This window comes from Homo sapiens, chromosome 11, assembly GCF_000001405.40.
Source record: "Homo sapiens chromosome 11, GRCh38.p14 Primary Assembly".
NCBI lineage: Eukaryota > Metazoa > Chordata > Mammalia > Primates > Hominidae > Homo > Homo sapiens.
Window position 1 is genome coordinate 9,346,858 of NC_000011.10, and position 26,329 is coordinate 9,373,186.

Here is a 26,329-nt window from a genome sequence, read left to right on the forward strand (position 1 = left end):
AAATAATTTTTTTTTTTTTGTAGAGATGGATTCTCACTATGTTGCCCAGGCTGGTCTCTAACTCCTGGCCTCAAGTAATCCTCCCCTGGCCTCCCAAAGTGCTGAAATTACAGGCATGAGCCACTGTGTCCAGCCTCAATTCTTCCTTTTATAGAAGAGAAAACAAACCTAGAGGGTTCTAGTAGTTTTTCCATACTAGCACAACTCATTTGTAATAGAGCTAAAAAAAGAATTCAGGCTTCTTATCTTTTGTCCAAAGGAAGGAATGATTTTAGTCTTTCTTACTACTACCTTTCAAACTCACTGCAACCCCCGCTTCCCTAGCCCTTTACCCTATTGTCTTTTCTGTCTTCCAATAAGCCTCTCACCTAGCTCTCAGGTGAGATAACAGATGAGTCTCTCTACCTCACAACTCAAGGCACTCATGTCACACTGTCCCAAGAAATCTTCTCACCACATTCTGCTCTAGTTGCCAGTAGCCACAGAGCGTTTCTTCCACTCAGCACATGTCACCATGAGATGCTAATCTTTCCCACTCACTCCTTGCTTGCCCTTGACTTGAGAGCAAGAAAACCACAGCACTCTTGACAGTTCTCTTCAAAGAAATCTTCACTTTTCAAACTTCCTCTCCTTGATTTTCTTTTCTCAGGCCAAAAGTGGGTAATGGGCTACAGGTTTCAGAACCAATTTGGAGGCTACCCCTTGAGCAAGTCCTGCATAAATGATCTGACATATCTCTTTATATAGGGGTACTTGCCACCTATTGTTCTAAGCTCCAAAACTAAGAAAATAGGAAAATGTAATTTAACATCCCAACTCAACTGCATTTATTCTTTCCCAGTTCTCTTTGTTTCTTAATGCATTCCAGCTGAGGTTTTTAAATTTAATTTTTATTAGGTTATGCGTTCCAGTGAGAGAACACACACCTCCTTTTTTTTTTTTTTTTTTCAGGTGCAAGATTTAATAGAGTGAAAACAGAGCTCCCATGCAAAGGGAGGGAACCCAAAGAGGTTAGCTGTTGCCAGCTCCAATGCCTGGGTTTATATCCCGATCATTGTCCCTCCCGCTGTGCTCTCAGGCAATAGATGATTGGGTATTTCTTTACCTCCCGTTTTTTGCCTAATTAGCATTTTAGTGAACTCTCTTTACTACCTGATTGGTCGGGTGTGAGCTAAGTTGCAAGCCCTGTGTTTAAAGGTGGATGTGGTCACTTTCCCAGCTAGGCTTAAGTATTCTTAGTCAGCCTAGGTAATCCAGCTAGTCCTGTCTTTTAGATCCCCCTCTCAACAGGAAAACCCAAGTGCTGTTGGGGAGGTTGGCCGACAACCGCTGTAACTGCTTCCTGCTGAACTGGGGCGTAGTAGGGGTTGTGAAGTTGAGATTTCCTTGGGAGGGGTGCCTTCAATGTCATTAACATTGGAGCATGGGCTAGCACGCCGGTCCAGGGGTCCACGGTAGATCTTAGTCATGGACTGCATCTGGGGCTCCATTTGAAGAATCATTGGTAGCTTTACAGCTTTGATTCTGGAAAAGACAAACTTAACAAGGAGGTTAAAGATACAGGGTCCAAAGAGGAGTAACAATATTATAGCTGCTAGAGGTCCTATGAAGGGGAGAATCCAGGGCATCCATTGGCTGAGGGGGCCCCAGCATCCGGTGTTTTGAAGCTCCTCTGCTCTACGTTGTATTTGATCTCAACTTTCTTTAACTTTCTCAGTGACGATTCTGGATTGATTAACATAATAACAGCATTCTTCCCCTAAAAATAAACAGGTTCCCCCTCTTTTGGCGGTTAGCAAGTCTAAAGCTCTCCGATTTTGAAGGATTACTGCTGCTAGGGAGTTAAGTTGATCTTGCAAGATGACCAGGGAGTTGGCGACCCGTTCCATGTCACCATTTGGTTCTTTAAATAGTTTGTAGTAGAACTGAGTAGAGGTTGTGATACCGCCAATGCCAGTACCTAGTTCGCCTAGCACTCCTGCTCCAATAACAAAAGGAAGAATGGGTACTCTTTTGTTGCAGGGCTTAGGTACAACATGATTGTATAAATTTTGTTCAGTGTAGATGGTCATGGGGGCACTAAGAATGAGAGGAAGCACATAGATTCTGAAGAGCCATTCAAACAACGATAGGCTGAGATACCACAGTCAAAAAATATTCCTGAGGGTAGGCAGACTATTCGTGTGGGAGGAGTTACCCACCTGATGCACTGGGAGTTGGTTGTGTCTATAGTATTGCTAAATTTTATGCAGGTGAGGTTTGAGGTATGGGTTATTTCCAGATTGGAAACAAGAGGTCCTACTAAAATGGAAGTGGTGTTTATTTCTGTGCTGAAGTTGTTCCATCATTCAGGTACAGGGATTGAAATGTATGGCCTGAAGTGCAGGGGGAGGCACATCCAACAGTTAGTAGGGTTTTGGGCCAAGACCTCATGGAGCCCAGTGAGAGTGGTATTAAATAGGCTTACCAGGTGAGTATGGGTACGGAGGGTTTCATGTAGTTTTGAGATCTAGTCCTTTGTAGGGGCTAGGGGTGCTATGACTCAGGTCAGTTGGGAGACTACTTCCTTTACGTGTTTTTCTCTTGCCTGATCTTGAACTCCACCCCCAACAGACATACCGGTATGGGTGAAGTAAGTCCAACAGACAGTGGCTCCAAGTCCTCCAAGACAACTAGGATTAATCATTTTCCCTGTCCAATAATGAGTATTTGCATGCATGCAAAGAGTGGCAGAGTTACAGCAGTTGCAGGGCATATGGGCACACATCTCCTTTTTATTATTATTATTATTATTTTTTGGAGACAGAGTCTCGCTCTGTCGCCTAAGCTGGAGTGCAGTGGCACGATCTCGGCTCACTGCAACCTCCGCCTCCCGAGTTCAAGCCATTCTCCTGCCTCAACCTCCCGAATAGCTGGGACTACAGGCACATGCCACCACTCCCAGCTAATTTTTTGTATTTTTTTTTTTTTAGTAGAGACCGGGTTTCACCGTGTTGCCCAGGCTGGTCTCGAACTCCTGAGCTCAGGCAATCTGCCCGCCTCGACCTCCCAAAATGCTATGATTACAGGTGTGAGCCACCATGCCTGGTGCACACACCTCCTTTAGAGTTTGTTAGACCTTCTTTTGGGAGCAGCCTCTGTCTCCTTCCTTCCCCTTAGCTGGAGGCACTCAATACCACCTGCAGGCTCAGTCTTGATCTAGTCACTACAAAATCTGCCCAGAGGCAGGAGGAATTTGTAGCACTTCAGTTCCCCACTCCGAGATTTTCTTTTCTTTTCTTTTTTTTTTTTTTAGATGGAGTCTTGCTCTGTTGCCCAGGCTGGAGTGCAGTGGCTTGATCTCAGCTCACTGCAACCTCTGCCTTCTGCGTTCAAGCAATACTTCTACCTCAACCTCCCTAGTAGCTGGGACTACAGGTGCGGGCCACCACACCTGGCTAATATTTGTATTTTTAGTAGAGATGGGATTTCACCATATTGGCCAGGCTGGTCTCGAACTCCTGACCTCGTGATCTGCCTGCCTTGGCCTCCCAAAGTATTGGGATTACAGGCGTGAGCCAGCACATCCGGCCACTCTGAGGTTTTCTATGAAGGCTGTTGCTAGGCTGAACTCAAGTGCCAGTTTTTGTTTTTGTTTTTGTTTTTGTTTTTAAGACAGAGTCTCGCTCTGTCGCCCAGGCTGGAGTGCAGTGGCATGATTTTGGCTCACTGCAACCACTGCCTCCCAGGACCAAGCGATTCTCCTGCCTCAGCCTCCTGCGTAGCTGGGATTACAGGCGTGTGCCACCATGCCTGACTAATTTTTTTTCTTTTTGCCGAGATGCAGTCTTGCTCTGTCACCCAGGCTGGAATGCAGTGATGCGATCTCAGCTCACTGCAACCTCCACCTCCTGGGTTCAAGCAATTCTCCCGCCTCAGCCTCTTGAGTAGCTGGGATTACAGGCGTGTGCCACCATGCCCAGCTAATTTTTGTATTTTTAGTAGACACCGGGTTTCACCATGTTGGCAAGGCTGGTCTTGAACTCCTGACCGCATGATTCACTCACCTCGGCCTCCCAAAGTGCTGGGATTACAGGCGTGAGCCACCTCGCCCGGCCTCAAGTCCCAGTTTTATTCAAAAACTGACCTCCAGTCTCATTCTTGAGATCTAGCTTCACCTTGGACTCCAGACCCAATGCATGGATTTCAGGCTAATGCCTTAGATCCAATCCTGTTACCCTTTCCAGTGTCCTGATTTCCCTACCACTGAGGACTTCCTGCTCCTTTCTTTCTTTCTTTTTTTTTTTTTTTTTTTGAGACAGAGTCTCACTCGCTCTGTTGCCCAGGTTGGAGTGTGGTGGCGAGATCTTGGCTCACTGCAACCTCTGTCTCCCGGGTTCAAGGAATTCTCCTGCCTCAGCCTCCCGAGTAGCTGATATTACAGGCGTGTGCCACCACACCCGGCTAATTTGTGTATTTTTAGTAGAGACAAGGTTTCGCCATGTGGGCCAGGCTGGTCTCGAATTCCTGACCTCTGGTGATCTGCCCACCTCAGCCTCCCAAAAAGCTAGGATTACAGATAAGAGCCACTGCGCCCGGCCAAATGAACGTCTTTCCTGCTCCTTTCAATTCCCCATTCCCTGGGACTGGAATGCCTTTGAACTTTAGCCAAGTGGCTAGAGTTCTACTACTTGATTATCAGACTTATCTGTCTGAAATCCTGATGAGCATCTCCTGTCTCAGAATTCTCTGTCTCCCATTAAGACAACATGTCATTCTCTGCTTGGCCCCAGATGCCAACTGCTTATCTACACGACTGCTTGCCATTTGTCACTGTGCCCTCCTAGTGGCAGATTTGGCCTGTCTGGTACTACTGCAGCTGACCCTGTGTCCCCTTGTGGAACCACATTCTAGTGTCTTCCTCTCAGTTGACCACCACAGGACTCAAGCCAGGGATGGACCATTTCCCATGAGTGGAATGTTTTATTATATAACTACTCTAAGGAACAGTATCACTCTTGAGACCAAACCAAGAAAAGCATACCCTATGTGATAGGGCCTTTGAGAATGGTATTCAAGAGCAACAGATCATGGAGTTAATTGTAGTATCCACCCAGAAAGTGTCAACCTGGATCAGAGACTATTGAGTACTGGATTCTCATTCAGTGAAAGTGTATGTAATGAATATCCATTTTGCCCATCCAGCATCACTTCTTCTGGTCAGATACCATAATTTGCCTTCCTCATTTCAATCCGTAGAGTTCATAGCCTTAATTCTGACTAATCAGAGCAACACAGCACCCCTTGAACATAGTGACTGTTTCAGGCATGTGTATATGACTCAAGCTGGGCCAATGACAGTCTTACCTGGGAATTTTATTGGCACTCTTGGAAAAGAGGTGGTTTCTGCTGGGGTTACTAGGTTGGTAGAATGTAAGCTGGAGCTGCTGGTGACCATCTTTGTTACCACATAAACAGAGCCTGCCTGGGAATAAAGTCAACTTAGAGGAAAGCAAAACTGAAAGATGGAGGCAATGTTGCAACCCTGATCTAGTCCTCTAGTCCTAAAGCTTGGCAATCTACTAGTGGACTCCTTGGCTCATTAATCAACATATTTACGGCTGGGCGCGGTGGCTCAGGCCTGTAATCCCAGCACTTTGGGAGGCCGAGGCGGGAGGATCACGAGGTCAGGAGATCAAGACCATCCTGGCTAACACGGTGAAACCCCTTCTCTACCAAAAATACAAAAAATTAGCCGGGAGTGGTGGCGGGCACCTGTAGTCCCAGCTACTCAGGAGGCTGAGGCAGGAGAATGGCGTGAACCCGGGAGGCGGGGCTTGCAGTGAGCCGAGATCGGCCCACTGTACTCCAGCCTGGGCGACAGAGTGAGACTTTGTCTCAAAAAAAAAAAAAAAAAACATATTTACTTTTATTGTGTAATTCAGAATGAGTTGGAGTACCATTACTTGCAACTAATACAGCTGGCAAGTATTCCCTTCTGCTTTACCAGCTGGGTAAGCCTCTGGGGAGGAAATACAGCAAAGAAAAGCAAGTTAAAAAAAAAAGTGCAGCTGGGCACAGTGGCTCATGCCTGTAATCCCAGCACTTTGGGAGGCCAAGGCGGGTAGATCATGAGGTCAGGAGTTCAAGACCACCCTAGCCAAGATGGTGAAACCCCTTCTCTACTAAAAACACAAAAATTAGCTGGGTGTGGTGGCAGGTGCCTGTAATCCCAGCTACTCGAGGGGCTGAGGCAAGAGAATTGCTTGACCCAGGAGGCGGAGGTAGTAGGGAGCCGAGATTGTGCCACTGCGCTCCAGCGTGGGAGAGCTAGACTTCTTCTCAAAAAAAAAAAAAGGCCGGAGTGGTGGCTCACGCCTGTAATCCCAGCACTTTGGGAGGCTGAAACAGGCTGATCACCTGAGGTCGGGAGTTTGAGACCAGGCTGACTAACATGGAAAAACCCCGTCTCTACTAAAAATACAAAAATTAGCTGGGCGTGGTGGCGCATGCCTGTAATCCCGGCTACTCCGGAGGCTGAAGCAGGAGAATCACTTGAACCTGGGAGGCAGAGGTTGTGGTGAGCCGAGATTGGGCCATTGCACTCCAGCCTGGGCAACAAGAGCAAAACTCTGTCTCAAAAAAAAAAAAAAAAATTTGCTCAGCCTGGCGCGGTGGCTCACACCTGTTATCCCAGAACTTTTGGAGGCTGAGTTGGGTGGATCACCCAAGGACAGGAGTTCGAGATCAGCCTGTTCAACATGGTGAAACCCCATCTCTACTGAAAATACAAAAATTAGCGGGGCATGGTGGCACATGCCTATAATCCCAGCTACTCAGGAGGCTGAGGCAGGAGAATCACTTGAACCCAGGAGGTGGAGGTTGTAGTGAGCCAAGATCTCACCATGGCACTCCAGCCTGGGCAACAAGAGCAAAACTCTGTCTCACAAAAAAAAAAAAAAAAAAAAAAAGTGCTTAAAAATGAAAAAAAAAATTTTTTCATTCAACCATCACTTAAGAATTGCAACACAGGGCCGGATGTGGTGGCTCACGCCTGTAATCTCAGCACTTTCGGAGGCTGAGGAGGGCAGATCACGAGGTCAAGAGTTTGAGACCAGCCTGGCCAACATGGTCAAACCCCATCTCTACTAAGAATACAAAAATTAGGCCGGGCACAGTGGCTCATGCCTCTAATCCCAGCAATTTGGGAGGCTGAGGCAGGCAGATCATGAGGTCAGGCAACTGAGACCATCCTGGCTAACATAGTAAAACCTCATCTCTACTAAAAATACAAAAAATTAGCTGGACATGGTGGCACATGCCTGTAGTCCCAGCTACTCGGGAGGCTGAGGCAGAAGAATCGCTTGAACCCGGGAGGCGGAGGTTGCAGTGAGCCAAGATTGCGCCATTGCACTCCAGCCTGGTGACAGAGGGAGATTCCATCTCAAAAAAAAAAAAAAAAAATTAGCCAGGCGTGGTGGTGCATGCCTGTAATCCCAGCTACTCGGGAGGCTGAGGCAGGAGAATTGCTTAAACCTTGAACCCAGAAGGTGGAGGTTGCAGTGAGCCGAGATCACACCACTACACTCTAGCCTAGGCGACAAAGCAAGACTCTGTCTCGGAAAAAAAAAAAAGAGCAACACAGTGCAGTGAAAGCAACACAAGATTTGGAGCCTACCAGAGCCCTACTCAAATCTTAAATCCCCTATTTTCTGGCTATGTACACTGAATATGTTAATTAATATTTGGAACCTCTGTTTCCTCTTTTGTACAAGGAGGATAACTACCTACCTCTTAGGGGTATTAGGAGGAGTAGATATAATGTATATGGTGCCTGTAACTAAAAGCCTTTCAATAAATCGTAGTTAGCCTCAGCAACATGGCAAAAACCCCTCTCTACAAAAAAAATACAAAAAGTATCCGGGCATGCTGGCTTATGCCTGTAGTCCCCCACTACTTGGGAGGCTGAGGTGTGAGGGTCATTTGAGCCTGGGGAGGTTGAGGCTGCAGTGAGCCATGATCACACCACTGCACTCCAGCCTGGGTGAGAGAGCAAGACCCTGCCAAAAAAAAAAAACAAAGTCAATGAATGGTAATTATTTTAATTCTCAAATACTTTGATCTGCAAGGACTTTGGGCTAGTGTATTCAAGAGGAATTTAAAAAACACAACAAAGCGGCCGGGCACAGTGGCTCACGCCTGTAATCCCAGCACTTTGGGAGGCCGAGGCGGGAGGATCACGAGGTCAGGAGATGTAGACCATCTTGGCTAACACGGTGAAACCCTGTCTTTACTAAAAACGCAAAAAATAAGCCGGGCGTGGTGGTGGGCGCCTGTAGTCCCAGCTAGTCAGGAGGCTGAGGCAGGAGAATGGCGTGAACCCGGGAGGCGGAGCTTGCAGTGAGCCGAGATCGTGCCACTTCACTCCAGCCTGGGCGACAGAGTGAGACTCCGCCTTAAAAAAAAAAAAAAAAAAAAAAAAAACTTGAGTCCTATCTCTGGCAGTTAAAATACTAGATTAAAAGAGAAGACACAGATGTTAAACTGGGAGAGAAAAGCAGTGCAAGCAGTGATATGACTGGCACAGGCCTTGGCAGCTGAGAAGAAGAAAATAATTCCCTTTCAGCTATTCATAAAAGGTTTCATGGAAGAAGTGAAATCTGGGCCCTAGAAGATGAACAGATTTTTTGTTTGTTTGTTTGAGATAGAGTCTAGCTCTGTTACCTAGGCTCTGGAGTGCAGTGGTGCGATCACAGCTCACTGCAGGCTTGACCTCCCAGGCTCAAGCCCACCTCAGCCTCCTGAGTAGCTGGGACTACAGGCATCTACCACCATGCCTGGCTAATTTTTTTTTTTTTTTTTTTAAGATACAGGGTTTCTCTATGTTGCCCAGGCTGGTCACAAACTCCTGGTCTCAAGCAATCTCCCCAGAATTTTTTTTTTTTTTTTTGAGATACAGTCTCACTCTGTCACCCAGGCAGGAGTGCAGTGATGTGATTTCAGCTCACTGCAACCTCCACTTCCCGAGTTCAAGTGATTCTCATGCCTCAGCCTCCTGAGTAGCTGGGATTATAGGCACACTCCACCACAACCAGCAAGGCCCAGGATTTTTGATAAGCAGAAAGTGGGAGAAACAGCATCCCAGAAAAACAATTGTTTTAAAAAAAGAAAATGCACAGCTGTGTCTACAGGCATTACTGGGTATATCAATATGGCCAGAGTAGAAAGAAAGGGAGAAAGAGAGAAGGAAGGAAGGAAGGAAGCAAGGAAGGAAGGAAGGAAGGAGGGAAGGGGAAGGGAAAGAAAGAAAATCACCTGGGTCTTCGTTCAGACTGCACACTTTCATCAGCTGTCCCTAAAATCCTGCCTCAGTGAACCATTGTAACTGATGAGAATGTGTTAGAACCCTCATCTGTGTGTTGGAACATGAAAAATGGTTGGGAAACATCAGCCCAGAGGCAGGAAGACTGTTTTAGAGACTATTGTGTGTGGTCAAAAGGACACCTGGGGCCTGGAGCAGTGGCTTACGCCTGTAATCCCAGCACTTTGGGAGACTGAGGTGGGTGGATCACCTGAGGTCGGGAGTTCGAGACCAGCCTGACCAACATGGAGAAACCCCGTCTCTACTAAAAATACAAAATTAGCTGGGCCTGGTGGTGCACGCCTATAATCCCAGCTACTCGGGAGGCTGAGGCAGGAGAATCACTTGAACCCAGGAGGCGGAGGTTGTGGTGAGCCGAGATCGTGCCATTGTACTCCAGCCTGGGCATCAAGAGGGAAACTCTGTCTCAAAACAAAAACAAAAACAAAAACAAAAAGGACACCTGGATCAGTAAAGCTGTTTTTAAAAAAGGAGGGAGGGGGCACTTGTATTCATCGCTCACTTGGTCCCCTATAATCATTTTTTCCTCGCTGTATTCCCTGTCTCCAGTCCCTCTCCGTTTCAAATAATTTTATTTTATTTGAGACAGAGTCCACCTCCGTCACCCAGACTGGAGTGCAATGGCGCGATCTCGGCTCACCGCAACCTCTGCTTCTCGGGTTCAAGCAATTCTCTTGCCTCAGCCTCCCAAGTAGCTGGGATTAGTGGTGTGAGCCACCATGCCCGGCTAATTTTTGTATTTTTAGTAGAGATGGGGTTTCACCATGGTGGCCAGGCTGGTCTCGAACTCCTGACCTCAGGTGATCCATCTGCCTCAGCCTCCTAAAAGTGCTGGGATTACAGGCGTGAGCCACTGCTCCCGGCCATCATTTTCTATTTCATGTCTAGATTAATCTTCCTGTTCTGATCCTGTTATCCCAACCCCAAAACCCTTAATGACAAACCACTATCTACAGAACAGACTAAAATTCTTTGGCTTTCCAGATGACGTAGCAATCACCTTTCGGATCTCATTTCCTGCTTATTTGTCATCAGGTATCTTCAGGTCCAGCCAAGCTGAACTACTCAAGAGTCCCTTGCTTTTCTGTCTTCATGGATCTTTCATGTTGCTCATTCTGCCTAGAATACCACTTCACAGTACTCTTCTCAGCTGTCTTAATCTTCTGGGTCCCTGAAGGCTCAATTCAGACACCTTTCCTTATCCCACCTTTCTCTCCCACACTGCCTTTGATAATGTCTCTCCATTCTGAACTCCTATAGAACTTTACCTGTACCTTTTGTAAAAAGTAGAGGTTCCTCTTCAAAAACTCTCCTACCCATCTAATTAGGAATAGTTACTTCTCTTAGAAGCAAAATTTATTCAAAGACCTGTGCTTACATTCTTAAATATCTGCTAGCCATAATAAAGAAATCAATGTATTGGCCGGGCGCGGTGGATCAAGCCTGTAATCCTAGCACTTTGGGAGGCCACGGTGGGCGGATCATGAGGTCAGGAGATCTAGACCATCCTGGCCAACATGGTGAAACCCTGTCTCTACTAAAAATACAAAAAAATTAGCAGGGCATGGTGGCGGGCGCCTGTAGTCCCAGCTACTCAGGAGGCTGAGGCAGGAGAATGGCGTGAGGCAGGAGAATGGCATGAACCCTGGAGGTGGAGCTTGCAGTGAGCCGAGATGGTGCCACTGCACTCCAGACTGGGGGACAGAGCCAGACTCTGTCTCAAAAAAAAAAAAAGAAAAGAAATCAATGTATTTTATGTTCTTAGCTCCCATAATTTAGCCTAAATATTTGCCCTGGCATGCTTATACTGGTCCAAGCAAGCATTAAGTCATAGCCTTCCTTATTTAAAGGAGTTTTTACCTTTCTCAGCATTCCACAAGTTACTTCCTCCTTCCTTTGTTCTCCTCTGCCTTTGTCTCTTTTAAAAAAGTTCTAAGTCCCTAGCCAATCAGGACAAAGACATAATGTGAGGTCCCGTTTCAGCCAATGGAAACTGGACACAGCAGTAAGGTGGATGTGTCAGGTTATAAATGACCCTGTCTCCTTTGTTCGGTGTACTCTCATGGCAAAACTGCTGACAAGTGTACCCTTTCTGCAGAAAGTAAAAATGGCCTTGTTGAGGAAATTAAATTTATGTTCAATTGCTATTCCTTTATGACACCGAGGAATAAACATTTCAAACAATTTATTCACGCATGGATCATTGGCTTTTTTTTTTTAAGTCTGTCATTGTTTATTTTTTTATCAAAATTTAAAACAATGTAATGAATAAAATACCAACCACCCATATTCCCACCACCCAGAATCACCAACTTTTAACACTGTTTCATATTTACTTCCATATATATATGAAATATACATGTATATACACATATATATAGAATATATACACACATATATAGAATATATATACACACACATAGAATATATATACACACACATAGAATATATATACACACACATATATATAGAATATATATACACACATATATATAGAATATACATATACACACACATATATAGAATATATATATACACACACACACACACACACAGTTTGTTTTTTCTTGAGACCGAGTTTCGCTCTTGTTGCCCCAGTTGGAGTGCAATGGCACAATCTCAGCTCACTGCAACCTCCGCTTCCTGGGTTCAAGCGATTCTCCTGCCTCAGCCTCCCAAGTAGCTGTGATTACAGGTGCCCGCCATCACGCCCAGCTAATTTTTGTTTTCTTTTTTTTTATTTTTTGAGACGGAGTCTTGCTCTGTCACCCAGGCTGGAGTGCAGTGGCACGATCTCGGCTCACTGCAAGCTCCGCCTCCCAGGTTCACGCCATTCTCCTGCCTCAGCCTCCCGAGTAGCTGGACTACAGGCGCCCACCACCACGCCCGGCTAATTTTTTGTATTTTTAGTAGAGTCGGGGTTTCACCGTGTTAGCCAGGATAGTCTCGATCTCCTGACCTGGTGAGCCGCCCGCCTCAGCCTCCCAAAGTGCTGGGATTACAGGCTTGAGCCACCGCACCCAGCCTTTTTTTTTTTTTTTTAAGTACAGACGGTGTTTCACCATGTTGGTCAGACTGGTCTCAAACTCCTGACCTTGTGATCCACTCACCTCGGCCTCTCAAAGTGCTGGGATTACAGGCGTGAGCCACTGCGCCGGCCAATTTTTGTATTTTTAGTAGAGACGGGGTTTCACCATGTTGGCCATGCTGGTCTTGAACACCTGACCTCAGGTGATCCACCTGCCTTGGCCTCCCAAAGTGCTGAGATTACAGGTGTGAGCCACTGCACCCGGCCTACTTCCATATTTTTAAAAGAAGTGAAATGTTATAGATAAAATTAAAGTCCCCTTTAACCACACAACCTCCCACTCAGTCCCATCTCCCCTCTCAAGTTACAGGCGCAACTACCATGAGTCTGGTGTGTAACCTTCCATTCCACTCCCTGTACTTTTACATGGATGAATACATATATATATATACACACACACACACACACATATGTACATATATACGTATTCATCACCAATGGATTGTGACACTGTATTTTAAAACTTACATTAATGATACCATCATGTACGTATAATTTTGCATCTTGCTTTTATCACCCAAAGTTGTTTTTGAGACCAATTCAGGCTGATGTATGAATATATTACACTTTTATCCATTTCCTTTTGATGAAAATTTAGGCTGCTTTTACTTTTTGTGATTACAAACAATGCTACGGAGGACATCCTCACACTTGTTTCTTTGTACACATGGGTGAGAGTTTATTTGGGGTACATACCCAGAAGTATAATCATTAGGTCATAGGGCACATACATTTAAACAAAAATTTTAGGCCAGCCACGGTGGCTCACACTGGTAATCCAAGCACTTTAAGAGGCCGAGGCAGGTGGATCACTTGTAGTTAGGAGTTCGAGACCAGACTGGCCAACATGGAGAAACCCCATCTCTACTAAAAATACAAAAATTAGCCGGGCTTGGTGGCGGGCACCTGTAATCCCATCTATTAGGGAGGCTGAGGCAGGAGAATTGCTTGAATCCGGGACGCAGAGGTTGCAGTGATCTGAGATTGTGCCACTGCACTCCAGCCTGGGCAACAGAGACTTCATCCCAAAACAACAACAACAACAACAACAACAACAACATTTTTACTGTGGTTAAATACACATAACACAAAATTTGCCATGTTGACCATTTTAAAGTATACAGCTCAGTAGTGTTATGTGCATTGACAATGTTGTAAAACCAGTCTCCAGAACTCTTTCCATCTTGCAAAACTGAAACTTTAAGGTAACATGGTTTATTTTATTTTATTATTAGTATTTTTTAATTTTTTAATTTTTTATTTTTTTTGAGACTGAGTTTGGCTCTTGTTGCCCAGGCTGGAGTGCAATGATGCCATCTTGGCTCACCGCAACCTCCGCCTCCTGAGTTCAAGCGATTCTCCTGCCTCAGCCTCCTGAGTAGCTGGAATTACAGTTGCCCGCCACCACGCCTGGCTAATTTTTGTATTTTTAGTAGAGACGGGGTTTCTCCGTATTGGTCAGGCTGGTCTCGAATTCCTGACCTCAAGTATTTTGACTACTTTTAAAATTAGCATTTCAACAAGGAAATTAAATAATGCTCAAAAACGTGATTTTAAAAATCATTATATAAATGTACCATAATTTAAAAAATTTATTACATTGTTCCCAGTTTTTAATTTCTAACTAAACAATCTTTTTTTTTTTTTTTTTTTTTTGTGAGGGAGTCTTGCTCTGTTGCCCAGGCTGGAGGGCAATGGCGCAATCTCGGCTCACTGCAACCTCTGCCTCCCAGGTTCAAGCAATTCTCCTCCCTCAGCCTCCTGAGTAGCTCAGAGTACAGGCACGTGCCACCACGCCCACCTAATTTTTGTATTTTTAGTACAGACAGGGTTTCACCATGTTGGTCAGGCTGGTCTCGAACTCCTGACCTCGTGATCCGCCCACCTTGGCCTCCCAAAGCGCTGGGATTACGGCTGTGAGCCACCGCGCCTGGCCTAATTAAACAGTATTATATAACCCACCATGTACCCACATAAATTGAAAATAAATGAATTAAAAATAAATAAAAATGGGATATTTAGAATTAAAAAAATACTGCAGTGACTAGCATACATATATCTTTACCCACATCTGCTGTTATTGCCTTAGGATACCAATATAGAAATGAAATTACTGGAACAACAGGTTTGTACGCTTTTACTTTTATCTGTCTTTAAAAATGCAAGAAGTTAAAAAATATTTTGATAGCACCAAGAAATGTGTAGTGAAAAAAAGTAGCCTTCGCCTCATTCCTCTTCATAGCCCAAAGGCAACCAATTTCCACTTTTTTCACTGTTATTTTGGGTATTTACCTCCATATATCAAAATAATGTGCTTATGCTATTTCTTGATGTATCTGTTTTAAACACAATCTATTGCTTTCCTGTTGTGGTAGATGAGGTTGTAGCACTCTTACAAATACACCACATACCCACCACCATTTCTCCTTCCCCAGCCTCCCAAAGCAGTTAAATCATAATTTTGGTTCACATCAATAATAAGCATTTACATCATGATTAATATGTGTAATTTTCACAGATGAGTCAGGAAGTGTACTGTGATTCATTTCTTGTAAAACTCTATTGAATAGGAAGGCCAATTTTACTTCATCTGCACTAACACTGGGTAATAAAAAATTTTTTTTCTGACATTAAAAACATGTTGCCAGGCATGGTGGCTCACTCACGCCTGTAATCCCAGCACTTTGGGAGGCCGAGGTGGGTGGATCACCTGAGATCAGGAGTTCGAGACCAGCCTGACTAACATGGTGAAACCCCATCTCTACTAAAAATACAAAAATTAGCCAGGCATGGTGGCAGCGCACACCTGTAATCCCAACTACTCGGGAGGCTGAGGCAGGAGAATTGCTTGAACCCGGGAGGCGGAGGTTGCAGTGAGCCAACGTCGGGCCATTGTACTCCAGCCTGGGCAATAAGAGTGAAACTCCATCCCTCCCCCCCGCCCACCAGAAAAAAAAACCATGTTCACCATGGACAAATTTAATTCAGAAAAATAAAAAGAAATTAAAATCTACTGTAATCGCAGACACTATTTGAACTGCAGCTCTCACCACCTCTGTGATCCCTGTCCTCTCTGCCTGTAAGTACCCATATCAATGCTACTTAGGCCATCTGCTCTGTCCCTGAGTTGTCCTTGACCTGGAGGCCCCCTTGGAGCCTCAGCTCTCCCTGCTACTGCCACCTAGAATCTGTCACTGACAACTTGCAGAGCTCCACTGCCCATCTCTCTCTGGCCAGTAGGTAAATGCCTTTCTTACATTCAGCTCTTTAAAAACCGAGAATCCCACAGAGTGTGTGCTGGGTTCTCAATAATTCAATTCTTTCAGCATGCCACACAGAAGAGGACCTGGGCCCCTGGTGATTCGGTTGTTTCCATTTTAGTACACAGCCTTCTCCTTCCCAGGACTGATAAGCATGCCCCAGAGGGTTGAGCTGGGGCAGGTTCAAGTACAGCCTTATAGAATCTTCACAAACACTGTCTTCTCTAGCACTTAGGCCCTGTGGCCAATTCTACTCCTTATAAGGGTATCCTTGGTACAGAATTTTTCCTGTAAGGAATCCATTATTTCTTTCTGCAAGCTGTATTTCATCAGGTGATAATCATTTTTAAATCAAATTTTATTTCCCACAATACTTCTGGATCCAAGATTAAAGGATGGGGCTAGATGTTTCAAGCCTTCTGTAACAGCAACAGAGCAGAGCACAATGATGCCTTCGAAAACCTGCAGCAACAAGGACACTCTGCTATATACAATATCTATCAGAGTGCTGGTAAATGCCTCACAACCATCAAGCCATCTCCCTCCCCCATATATTTATTCCTCTGTGAAGCCTTTCTTCTTCCCCCTCTATTACACTGAGTTGCTCTCTGTCCTGTTCACACTTCGATCAGAGCACTTATTACACAGTATAATGACGACGTGATTATGTATTTATCTCCCCTCACCAGAGCTCTGGAGGGCAGGAATCCGAGTACCACAATACAGGATGCAGAGCAGGCCTAAAATATTTATGGGAAGGATGGGAGCCGGACTATGATGGATCGCTTTAAATACCAGGGAAAGGACTTTCCACTCAAACCAAAATTCAACAGAGTATTAAATTTTCTTGCACAGAGGAATGACTTGCAGAATACAGTGTGCCATAAAAATGCACCCGGTCATTGTGTGAAGTTGGATGGGAATGTGGCAAAACCAGTTAGGAAGTTGCTGAGGTGACTCTGTCCATGGAGAGGAAGAACTACATCTAAAAGGCATTTCAAAGAAAATACAGGCCAGGCACGGTGGCTGTCGCCTGTAATCCCAGCACTTTGGGAGGCCAAGGCAGGCGGATCACGAGGTCAAGAGATCGAGACCATCCTAGCCAATATTGTGAAATCCTGTCTCTACTAAAAATACAAAAATCAGCTGGGCGTGGTGTCGTGCGTCTGTAGTCCCAGCTACTCAGGAGGCTGAGGCAGGAGAATCGCTTGAACCCAGGAGGAACCCAGGAGGGGGAGGTTGCGGTGAGCCGAGATCGCGCCAGCCTCGTGACAGAGGGAGACTCCGTCTCAAAAAAAAAAAAAAAAAAAAAAAGGAAAGAAAGAGAAAATACAAACAAAAGCTGAGATTTGCTGAGTTCCTACCATGTGCTACGCAATGCCAACAACAAGGTGGCATGGAATAATCCTCATGTCTGTTAAGTGGGTGGGGGTAGGAGTGGGGGTAGGAGTAGGGGAGTGTCACACATCTGCAAACGGTAACGTTGAACTTCCAAAGTAGGTCCATCGGGCTCTCAGGACCCGCGGCTGTCCGAGGCCTCAGTTGCCTCAATTAGTCTTAGGCTAACTTCCTCCTTGCGCTGGGGGGTGGGGAATACTTTCCCGTGCGGAGGCCTCAGCTCCTCAATGTACAGAGAAGAGCCTTGCAGGGCCTAAACACTGGAGTTCAGGGATCCTTTATCAAGCTGCCAAACCTTTTCAGGGGCTTGGAAGGACACCTAAGGGCGGAAGCGGGCGCGTTGTGGCCCCCGTGGGGCAGTGGGAAGGCAGCAGGGCCTCGCGGGCGGAGGCCGGAGCGCCGCTGACGCCGGAGCGGAAGCCGCTGAGTCATGGTGGGGGCAGGAATGCAGCGCATTTGGAGAAGGCCCGGGACGCCGGCGGCTCCAGCATTACTGAGCAGTGACTTGGCGTCCGCACCTTCACTGCAGTCGGGAACCACCAGTGACGGCGGTGACCGGAAGAGCTGAGTCACCGCAGGCGACGGCGAGCGACGCCGGCGGGGAGGGGCTGACGCGCCTGGGGCCGCGCGCCTGGGCTCCAGGGCCCCGCGCGTCGCCACGATCCCGACGTTGCAATCCCCGCCAGCTCGGCGGGGGCCGCACGGGGCTGGGTCTCCCGGATCCCGCCCGGGGATTGGAGTCTGAGGCTGAAATTTGAAATCTTGAAGTGGCCCCAAGCCACAAATACTACAGACTGGTTTCAGTGGGAATTAGGACCTTGTGAAAGGAGACAGCAGTGCCCCAAAGACTGGGTAGATTTTGAAGATCAAAGGCACTTGCCTAGGAACAAAAATGATTTGCCTGACTCAGTTCCAAAATGCAGCAAATAATAATTAAAGCGAAACACACACGCACTGTTTTTTTTAAATGCAAGAGCAAAACTTTTAAAATTCCAAAAGAAAATAAATCTTGGTTTCCGAGATGAATTCGTCAAAGGAAAATATCTTGGGGCCCCCATATCACTAAGCTAAAGGGAAAAGTCAAGCTGGGAACTGCGTAGGGAAAACCTGTCTCCCATTCTATTCAAAGTTACCCCTCTGCTCACTAACATAAATGCGTTATCTGATTGCCTCTTTTGGAGGCTGGGTGCGGTGGCTCACACCTGTAATCCCAGCACTTTGGGAAGGAGAGGCGGGCGGATCACTTGAGGTTAGGAGTTCCAGACCAGCCTGGCCAACATAACGAAATCCCGTCTCTACTAAAAATACAAAAATTAGCCGGGCATGCTGGTGGGCGCCTGTAATTCCAGCTACTCGGGAGGCTGAGGCAGGAGAATCGCTTGAACTCGGGAGGCGGAGGTTGCAGTGAGCCGAGCTCAGCCACTACGCTCCAGCCTGAGCAACAGAGCCAGACTCCCTCTCAAAAAATAAGATTAAAAAAAAAAAAGAATCCAGGCTGGGCACGGTGGCTCACGCCTGTAATCCTAACACTTTGGGAGGCCAAGGCGGGTGGATCACCTGAAGTCAGGAGTTCGAGATCAGCCTGGTGAACATGGAGAAACCCCTATCTCTACTAAAAATATATAAATTAGCTGGGCGTGGTGGCGGGCGCCTGTAATCCCAGCTGCTTGGGAGGCTGAGGCAGGAGAATCGCTTGAACCCGGGAGCAGAGGTTGCAGTGAGCCGAAATTGGGCCACTTCTCCCCAGCCTGGGCGAAAGAGGGAAACTCCATATGAAGAAAGAAAGAGAGAGAGAGAGGGAGGGAAGCTCAAAAGAATGCAACCATTTGTCTCCTATCTACCTATGACCTGGAAAGCCCCCATTTCCAGACCAAACCCGTGTTGATCTTATATATGTCGATTGATGTCTCATGTCTCCCTAAAATGTAGAAAACCAAACTGTGCTCTGACCACCTTGGGCACATGTCCTCAAGGAGGTCCTCAGGGCACGTATCCTCAACCTTGGCAAAATAAACTTTTTAAATTAACTGAGACCTATCTCAGATTTTCGGGGTTCACAAGTTCTAACAGGATGGGAGTTTTGCAGAGGGAACTTTCCAAAGGTCCCTGAAACTTGCTTGGTGGTACCAGGACTCAGTAGTTTATCTCTTTCTCTAGTTTCTTCCCACTTCCACACTACTGAAGCCAGAACTCATTTTTGTATAATAGTGCTTAATTAGGCTGGACACAGTGGCTCACGCCTGTAATCCCAGCTACTTGGGAGGCTGAGGCAGGAGAATCGCTTGAACTCGGGAGGCAGAGGTTGCAGTGAGCCGAGATCGCGCCATTACACTCCAGCCTGGGCAACAAGAGCGAAACTTCATCTCAAAAATAATAATAATAATAATGCTTAATCAATTTTGTTCAGGTTTCTTTTTTAGACAAAAAACAAGTATATTATAGAATTTTCTCGGGATGGTGGGGGGAACACACTCAATTACAGTCGCTAAACCAGAAACCACAATTACTTTTGCTTCTTTTCCTACATTTTGTTCACAAGAAGAAGTTTTTGTTTTTGTTTTGTTTTGTTTTGAGATAGTGTCTCACTCTGTCGCCCAGGCTGAAGTGCAGTGGTGCGGTGTGGGCTCACTGCAAGCTCTGCCTCCTGGGTTCAAGTGATGCTCTCACCTCAGCCTCCCAAATAGCTGGGATTACAGGTGCCTGCCACCACACCCAATTAATTTTTGTATTTTTAGTAGAGATGGGGTTTTGCCATGTTGGCCAGGCTGGTCTCGAACCCCTGACCTCAAGTGATCCGCCCACTTCAGCCTACCAAAGTGCTGAGATTACAGGCGTGAGCCACTGTGCCTGGCCTCAATGTGTAAGTCTTTTTTAATCAGATCAGTGATTAAATGGAGAAAACAAAACAAAAGAAAACAAAATAATGGATAATGGTGGAAATGAATGTAATGTCACAGATTTTTTTTGTTTTTTATTTTTTGTTTTGAGATGGAGTCTAGCTGTGTTGCCCAGGCTGGAGTGCAGTGGCACGATCTTGGCTCACTACAACCTCCGCCTGCCAGGTTCAAGCGATTCCCCTGCCTCAGCCTCCCGAGTAGCTGGGATTACAGGCGTCTGCCACCACGCCCAGCTAATTTTTGTATTTTTAGTAGAGACGGGGTTTCACTGTGTTGGTCAGGCCGGTCTCGAACTCCTGACCTTGTAATCCGCCCACCTCTGCCTCCCAAAATGCTGGGATTACAAATGTAAGCCACCACGCCTGGCCTGTCGTAGATTTTTTGTCTTGGGCAATGGGACTGAGGATAAGAGGGAGAAGAAAAAGGTCAAGAAGCTATTCCTTTTCATCTGAAAGTTCTTATGCACTTCTTTGTAACCATGTGCATATATTACTTCTTACTTTTTTGTTGTTTTATTTTGGATGTGTGGTCTGAGTGCTTGCTTTTGAGTCAGTGGGCTTGACAGTTCTTCAAACTGAAAACTAATCTAAGAGTCCCAGATCTGGTTCTGGTATAACACACAGCAGAATTTTGCTATTTCATTGTTTTCGCTTAGGCACCATTTTCAACTGCTGCTGTTCATTCTTCCATTCAACACATATTTGTTAAGGGGCTTTTACGTGCCAGGCACTATAGTAAGGTCCTGAAGATGTCCTTCAAACAGCCAGCCAAAATTTGGAACATGTTTTGTGCCAGCTACATAGAGTGTGTTTTTGTTAAAGACTTCTATTATTGTGGGCCTTTGTTCTTGTTGCTAGTCAATCTTGGGATGATCTAATAGAATGTAGATTTCTTTGCAACAGAGCTGGACCCAGAACATTCCATTCTAGACTCTAGGGTCCTGCACGTGTGAAATAGAGATAGGACTGACTTTGGGCACTGTGACAAGTAATTCTCTTCCATTAATGCTGCTTTTCTGGAGCTATGCCCTAAGATAATGTTATACCAAAGGGTCCTGTGAACACTTTGCTGCAGAAATTATTTGATTCAAATCAATTCAATTTAAAATCATGTATTGAGTGCCTACTACTTATAAGCATGGGGTAGGAATGGGAGATGAGCCAAAGATGAAAATAACCCAGATCCTGAAGCTCATCATTTTTTGAGAGTCTTAAATCTTCCTAAAGACTGATCCAGATACTTCTCTTTTTAAAACCTTTAATGGGTCTCATTGGCTTTCAGATTTTTTTTATTTCAAAAAAAACCCGCTGCATTTTAACTGAGTACCAGACACCGTGCTAGGGGTTGGTTATACCATTTCAGAAAATTACATTATTGATGGCAATGGTGTTGGTGGTATTTGAGTCACCTGCACAACATGCATGTATCAATCAGAATTTGCAGCTGTAACATGCATGATTTTGCTACGTATAGTTGCTAGCAACTGACTACTACTTTATTTATTTATTTATTTATTCATTTATTTATTTATTTATTTATTGAGACAGAGTCTCGCTCTGTAGCCTAGGCTGGAGTGCAGTGGCGCAATCTCGGCTCACTGCAACCTCTGCCTCCTGGGCTCAAGCCATCCTCCCATCTCAGCTTCCTGAGTTGCTGGGACTACAGGTGCATGCCGCCACACCTGGCGAATTTTTGTATTTTTTGCAGAGATAGTGTTTCGCCATGTTGCCCAGGCTGGTCTTGAACTCCTGAGCTCAAGTGATCTGCTTGCCTTGGCCTTCCAAAGTGCTGGGATTATAGGCATGAGCCACCATGCAATTATATATTGAAATATGTTACCATAAATAACCTTCTTTTTATTTCTTCTTTATATTACAGTTAGCGCACAATATTGATTTTCTTAAATAGAAGTGTGTAGTTAGTTTGACTGTATTATCTATGGATATCATTTAATAATAGTACAGAGGAGATTACAGAAAGAACTACTAGCCTACTCAAATAAATCTGAATGACTGATCCTGGCAATTATTGCCATCAGTGTCAAACCCCAGGCTTATTCTTATTTGGTATACCTAAGATCAGGCCAAGTTGCTTTACTTCGTATTCCCAGTATTGGAGCATTGGAGCAAGCATCTTCCACTCCCACAGACCCATCTTAGGTCATCTTGTTCTATAACTATAGGACTCTGTCACCTTTGACACATCTGATTGACCTAAGGGAGTCTATTCATTGTCTGTCCAATTGCCCAAGAGAGTTGTTCCGGACAGGCTCAGTGGCTCACACCTGTAATCCCAGTACTTTGGGAGGCCGAAGCAGGTGGATCACCTGAAGTCAGAAGTTCAAGACCAGCCTGGCCAACCTGATGAAACCCCGTCTCTACTAAAAATACAAAAAATTTAGCTGGGCAGGGGGGTGGGTGCCTGTAATCCCAGCCACTCAGGAGGCTAAAGCAGGCAGGAGAATCACTTGAACCCGGGAAGCGGAGGTTACAGTGAGCCAAGATAGTGCCATTGCACTCCAGCCTGGGTAACAGAGTGAGACTCTGTCTCAAAACAAAAACAAGCAAACAAAAAATTGGCCTAGACATACAAAGAATGAGGAAAATAAAATCCATAGTCAAGGTGGGGGAAAAAGCAGTCTATACAAATTAAACCCAAGATGGCCCAGATGTGAAACTTACCAAAAAAGAGTTTAGGCCGGGAGCAGTGGCTCACGCCTGTAATCCTAGCACTTTGGGAGGCCGAGGTGGGTGGATCACCTGAGGTCAGGAATTAGGAGAATCAGGAGCTCGAGACCAGCCTGGCCAACATTGTGAGACCCTGTCTCTACTAAAAATACAAAAATTAGCCAGGTGTGATGGCACACACCTGTAGTCCCAGCTACTCGGGAGGCTGAGGCAGGAGAATCGCTTGAACCTAGGAGGCAGAAGTTGCAGTGAGCCGAGACAGTGCCATTGCCATTGGGTGACAGAGCAAGACTGTCTCACATACACACACAAAAAAGCCGGGCACGGTGCCTCATATCTGTAATTCCAGCAATTTGGGAGGCCCAGGAGGGCGGATCATGAGGTCAGGAGTTCGAGACCAGCCTGACCAACATGGTGAAACCCTGTCTCTATTAAAGATACAAAAAAAAAAAAAACATTAGCCGGGCATGGTGTTGCGTGCCTGTATTCCCAGCTACTCAGGAGGCCAAGGCAGGAGAATTGCTTGAACCTGCAAGGCAGAGGTTGCCGTGAGCCAAGATCGCACCATTGCACTCCAGTCTGGGCAACAGGACGAGACTCTGTCTCAAAAAAAAAAAAAAAAAAATAGAAAAAGAATTTAAAGGAGCTATCAAAAATAAGTTCAAAAATTAAAGGAAAATATATTTATGGAAAGAAAGAAAAGTGTAATCTTAATGAGTTAACAGAAATAGAAACCATAAAAAAGAACCAAATGGAAGTTCTAGAACTGAAAATTACAATGGCCGGAATAAAAAATTAACTGGATGGGATTTACAGCAGATTATATTTGGCTTAATAGGTCAATAGAAAGTTTTCATTCTGAAGAACAGAATGTTAAGAAATTATAGAAAAATGAACAGACACCCCTAAAATTTATACAAATTTAAAAACAAAAGTGGCCTCGGACTTTTAGAGCAATATCAAATGACCTAATACATATGTAATTGGAGTCCCAGAAAGAAAAGAGGGTGCAATTGGATCAGAAAAAACTATTTGAAGAAATAATGCAGCCGGGCGCAGTGGCTCACACTTGTAACCCCAGCACTTTGGGAGGCTGAGGCAGGTGGATCACCTGAGGTCAGGAGTTTGAGACCAGCCTGGACAAAATGGTGAAACCCCATTTCTACCAAAAATACAAAAATTAGCCAGGTGTGGTGGCAGTTGCTTGTAATCCCAGCTATTCAGGAGGCAGAGGTCGCAGTGAACCGAGATCATGCCATTGCACTCCAGCCTGGGCCACAGAGTGAGACTCCATCCATCTCCAAAAAAAAAGAAAAAAAGATCAAAAGTTCTCCATATTTGATAAAAACAGATGACATTACAAGGACACAGGAGCCAGCTTGCAGAGCCTCTGACAGGCCAAATCTGAGGAAATCAAGGCAACAAAATATATTCTGATAAAAGAATAGCTGTAAGAAGTTCAACAAATTTCATAAATGGTAAAAAATCTAAAAAGGCAAAAATAAAGACAGCCATACCTAGCCACATGATAGTCCAACAGTTGAAAACCAAAGATAAAGAAAATAAATCTTTTTTTTTTTTTTTTTTTGAGACGGAGTCTTGCTTTGTCACCCAGGCTGGAGTGCAGTGGCGCGATCTCGGCTCACTGCAAGCTCCGCCTCCCGGGTTCACGCCATTCTCCTGCCTCAGCCTCTCGAGTAGCTCGGACTACAGGTGCCCACCACCACGCCCGGCTAATTTTTTCATATTTTTAGTAGAGATAGGGTTTCACTGTGTTAACCAGGATGGTCTCAATCTCCTGACCTTGTGATCTGCCCACCTTGGCCTCCCAAAGTGCTGGGATTACAGGCGTGAGCCACCGTGCCTGGCCAAAGAAAATAAATCTTGAAAGCTGGCTGGGCACAGTGGCTCATGCCTGTAATCCCAGCACTTTGGGAGGCCAAGACGGGCGGACCACCTGAGGTGAGGAGTTCGAGACCAGCCTGACCAACATGGTGAAACTCCGTCTCTACTAAAAATACAAAAAATTAGCCAGGCATGGTGGCGTGTGCCTGTAGTTCCAGCTGCTTGGCAGGCTGAGGCACGAGAATTGCTTGAACCCGGAGGCGGAAGTTGCAGTGAGCCGAGATCGTGCCACTGCACTCCAGCCTGGGTGACAGAGTGAGACTCTGTCTCCCCCAATAAATAAATATATAAACACTTTTTGCTTTGCATCTTTGTTTTTTGGGGGTTTTTTTGAGACAGAGTCTCACTTTGTAGAAACAAGGTCTCATTTTGTTACCCAGGCTGATCTTGAACTCCTGGCTCCAGTGATCCTCTCACCTCAGCCTCCCAAAGTGCTGAGATTAAAGGTGTGAGCCACTGTACCAGCCCTCCATGATGTGAATATACTACTTTTGTCTTTTCCATTGACCTAGTGATAGGTATCTGGGTTGCTGCCTACTTCTCCCTGCAACACCACCACCAAAAAGTGATAAAGAATATACTCTGAAATATAAACCTAGAACTGGGAACACAGCTGATACATTTGGATATTTGTCCCCTCCAAATCTCATGTTGAAATGTAATCTCCAGTGTTGGAGGTTGGACTTGGTGGGAGGTGTATTTCTTCATGGGGACTGATCCCTCATGAATGGCTTTATGCCATTCTCACTGTAATGATTGACATCTCGCTGTATTGGTTCACAGGAGATCTGCTTGTTTAAGAAAGCCTGGAACTTCCTCTCCTCTCTTTTTTTCCCTATCTCACCATGTGATATGCCAGCTCCCCCTTCGCCTTCCGTCATGATTGTAAGTTTCCTGAGGCCTCACCAGGAGCAGATGCTGGCACTATGCTTCTTGTTCAGCCTGCAGAACTATGATCCAAGGTCTTGCTAAGTTGCCCAGGCTGTGTTTGAATTCTTGGCCTCAAACAATCCTCCTTCCTTGGCCTCCCAAAGCACTGAGATTATAGTTGTGAGCCACTGTGCCTGGCCACCTCAAATATTTCTTTACATCCTATTCAGGAATTCAAGCTTCCTCTTCCATGAATTGCCTATTAATATTTTCCCACTTTTTTCAGTCTTATTTGTATTGGCTTATAGGAATTCCACGTGTCTACCTAATAATGATGCTCTGTGGCTTTTAGATGTGGTAAATATCTTTACAGAGTCTGCTATTTGTCTATTAACTTCATCTAGAGTATTTCTTGTTAGACCATCATGTTAAATCTAGGAAACCGTAGAGTCCAGATTCAACCCAAGTCTGTCTGTCTTTGAGACTAATGCTCCTTTTACTAAAGGAAAATGGTAGTGAAGCTCTATGACTGACTAGAGTAATTTTTGCCACCTAAAAGCTAGAGTTTCTGGGTCATCTCTCAGATTGTTTTCCTAGAAAATGAAGGCTACCAAATACCCAACCATAGACTTCTTGCCTGGGAGACAGGGTACTCTGACCTGAGGTCAGAGTTTTCTGGGTATTGGAGCCAAAGCTACTTCACAAACATTCTGACTTTATTTTTCCTTGAGTCTACCTGTTGTGCTGGCTCTGCATATTAAAAGACTATGCAAAGTAAGTGGCATATCTATCCCACATTAGGAGCGAGCAGATAAAAGAAAACTTTTCCATTGTAAGTTAGAAGAATAAATCTGATGGGTGAT

General features: G+C 45.3%; 9 annotated features.

The window, feature by feature from the left end:
- Window positions 3,987–4,488: an enhancer, noted in NCBI's record as "H3K4me1 hESC enhancer chr11:9372391-9372892 (GRCh37/hg19 assembly coordinates)". NCBI's record gives its function as "activates a minimal SCP1, AML or CMV promoter by ChIP-STARR-seq in primed H9 embryonic stem cells {active_cell/tissue: H9 hESC(primed)}" and the evidence as "EXISTENCE:reporter gene assay evidence [ECO:0000049][PMID:30033119]".
- Window positions 8,089–8,589: an enhancer, noted in NCBI's record as "H3K4me1 hESC enhancer chr11:9376493-9376993 (GRCh37/hg19 assembly coordinates)". NCBI's record gives its function as "activates a minimal SCP1, AML or CMV promoter by ChIP-STARR-seq in naive H9 embryonic stem cells {active_cell/tissue: H9 hESC(naive)}" and the evidence as "EXISTENCE:reporter gene assay evidence [ECO:0000049][PMID:30033119]".
- Window positions 8,684–9,242: an enhancer, noted in NCBI's record as "H3K27ac-H3K4me1 hESC enhancer chr11:9377088-9377646 (GRCh37/hg19 assembly coordinates)". NCBI's record gives its function as "activates a minimal SCP1, AML or CMV promoter by ChIP-STARR-seq in naive H9 embryonic stem cells {active_cell/tissue: H9 hESC(naive)}" and the evidence as "EXISTENCE:reporter gene assay evidence [ECO:0000049][PMID:30033119]".
- Window positions 9,243–9,799: an enhancer, noted in NCBI's record as "H3K27ac-H3K4me1 hESC enhancer chr11:9377647-9378203 (GRCh37/hg19 assembly coordinates)". NCBI's record gives its function as "activates a minimal SCP1, AML or CMV promoter by ChIP-STARR-seq in naive H9 embryonic stem cells {active_cell/tissue: H9 hESC(naive)}" and the evidence as "EXISTENCE:reporter gene assay evidence [ECO:0000049][PMID:30033119]".
- Window positions 9,389–9,569: a silencer, noted in NCBI's record as "fragment chr11:9377793-9377973 (GRCh37/hg19 assembly coordinates)". NCBI's record gives its function as "represses an EF-1alpha promoter that drives an FKBP-Casp9 reporter gene in an ReSE screen in phorbol 12-myristate 13-acetate-treated (for megakaryocytic differentiation) K562 erythroleukemia cells {active_cell/tissue: K562(+PMA)}" and the evidence as "EXISTENCE:reporter gene assay evidence [ECO:0000049][PMID:32094911]".
- Window positions 16,854–18,053: an enhancer, noted in NCBI's record as "P300/CBP strongly-dependent group 1 enhancer chr11:9385258-9386457 (GRCh37/hg19 assembly coordinates)". NCBI's record gives its function as "activates an origin of replication core promoter dependent on BRD2, BRD4, P300/CBP, MED14 and CDK7 cofactors, with strong dependence on P300/CBP, by STARR-seq in HCT116 cells {active_cell/tissue: HCT116}" and the evidence as "EXISTENCE:reporter gene assay evidence [ECO:0000049][PMID:35650434]".
- Window positions 16,854–18,390: a biological region, named in NCBI's record as "P300/CBP strongly-dependent group 1 enhancer GRCh37_chr11:9385258-9386457".
- Window positions 17,684–17,863: a silencer, noted in NCBI's record as "silent region_3125". NCBI's record gives its function as "represses an Ori minimal core promoter by ATAC-STARR-seq in GM12878 lymphoblastoid cells {active_cell/tissue: GM12878}" and the evidence as "EXISTENCE:reporter gene assay evidence [ECO:0000049][PMID:35858748]".
- Window positions 17,689–18,390: an enhancer, noted in NCBI's record as "H3K27ac-H3K4me1 hESC enhancer chr11:9386093-9386794 (GRCh37/hg19 assembly coordinates)". NCBI's record gives its function as "activates a minimal SCP1, AML or CMV promoter by ChIP-STARR-seq in primed H9 embryonic stem cells {active_cell/tissue: H9 hESC(primed)}" and the evidence as "EXISTENCE:reporter gene assay evidence [ECO:0000049][PMID:30033119]".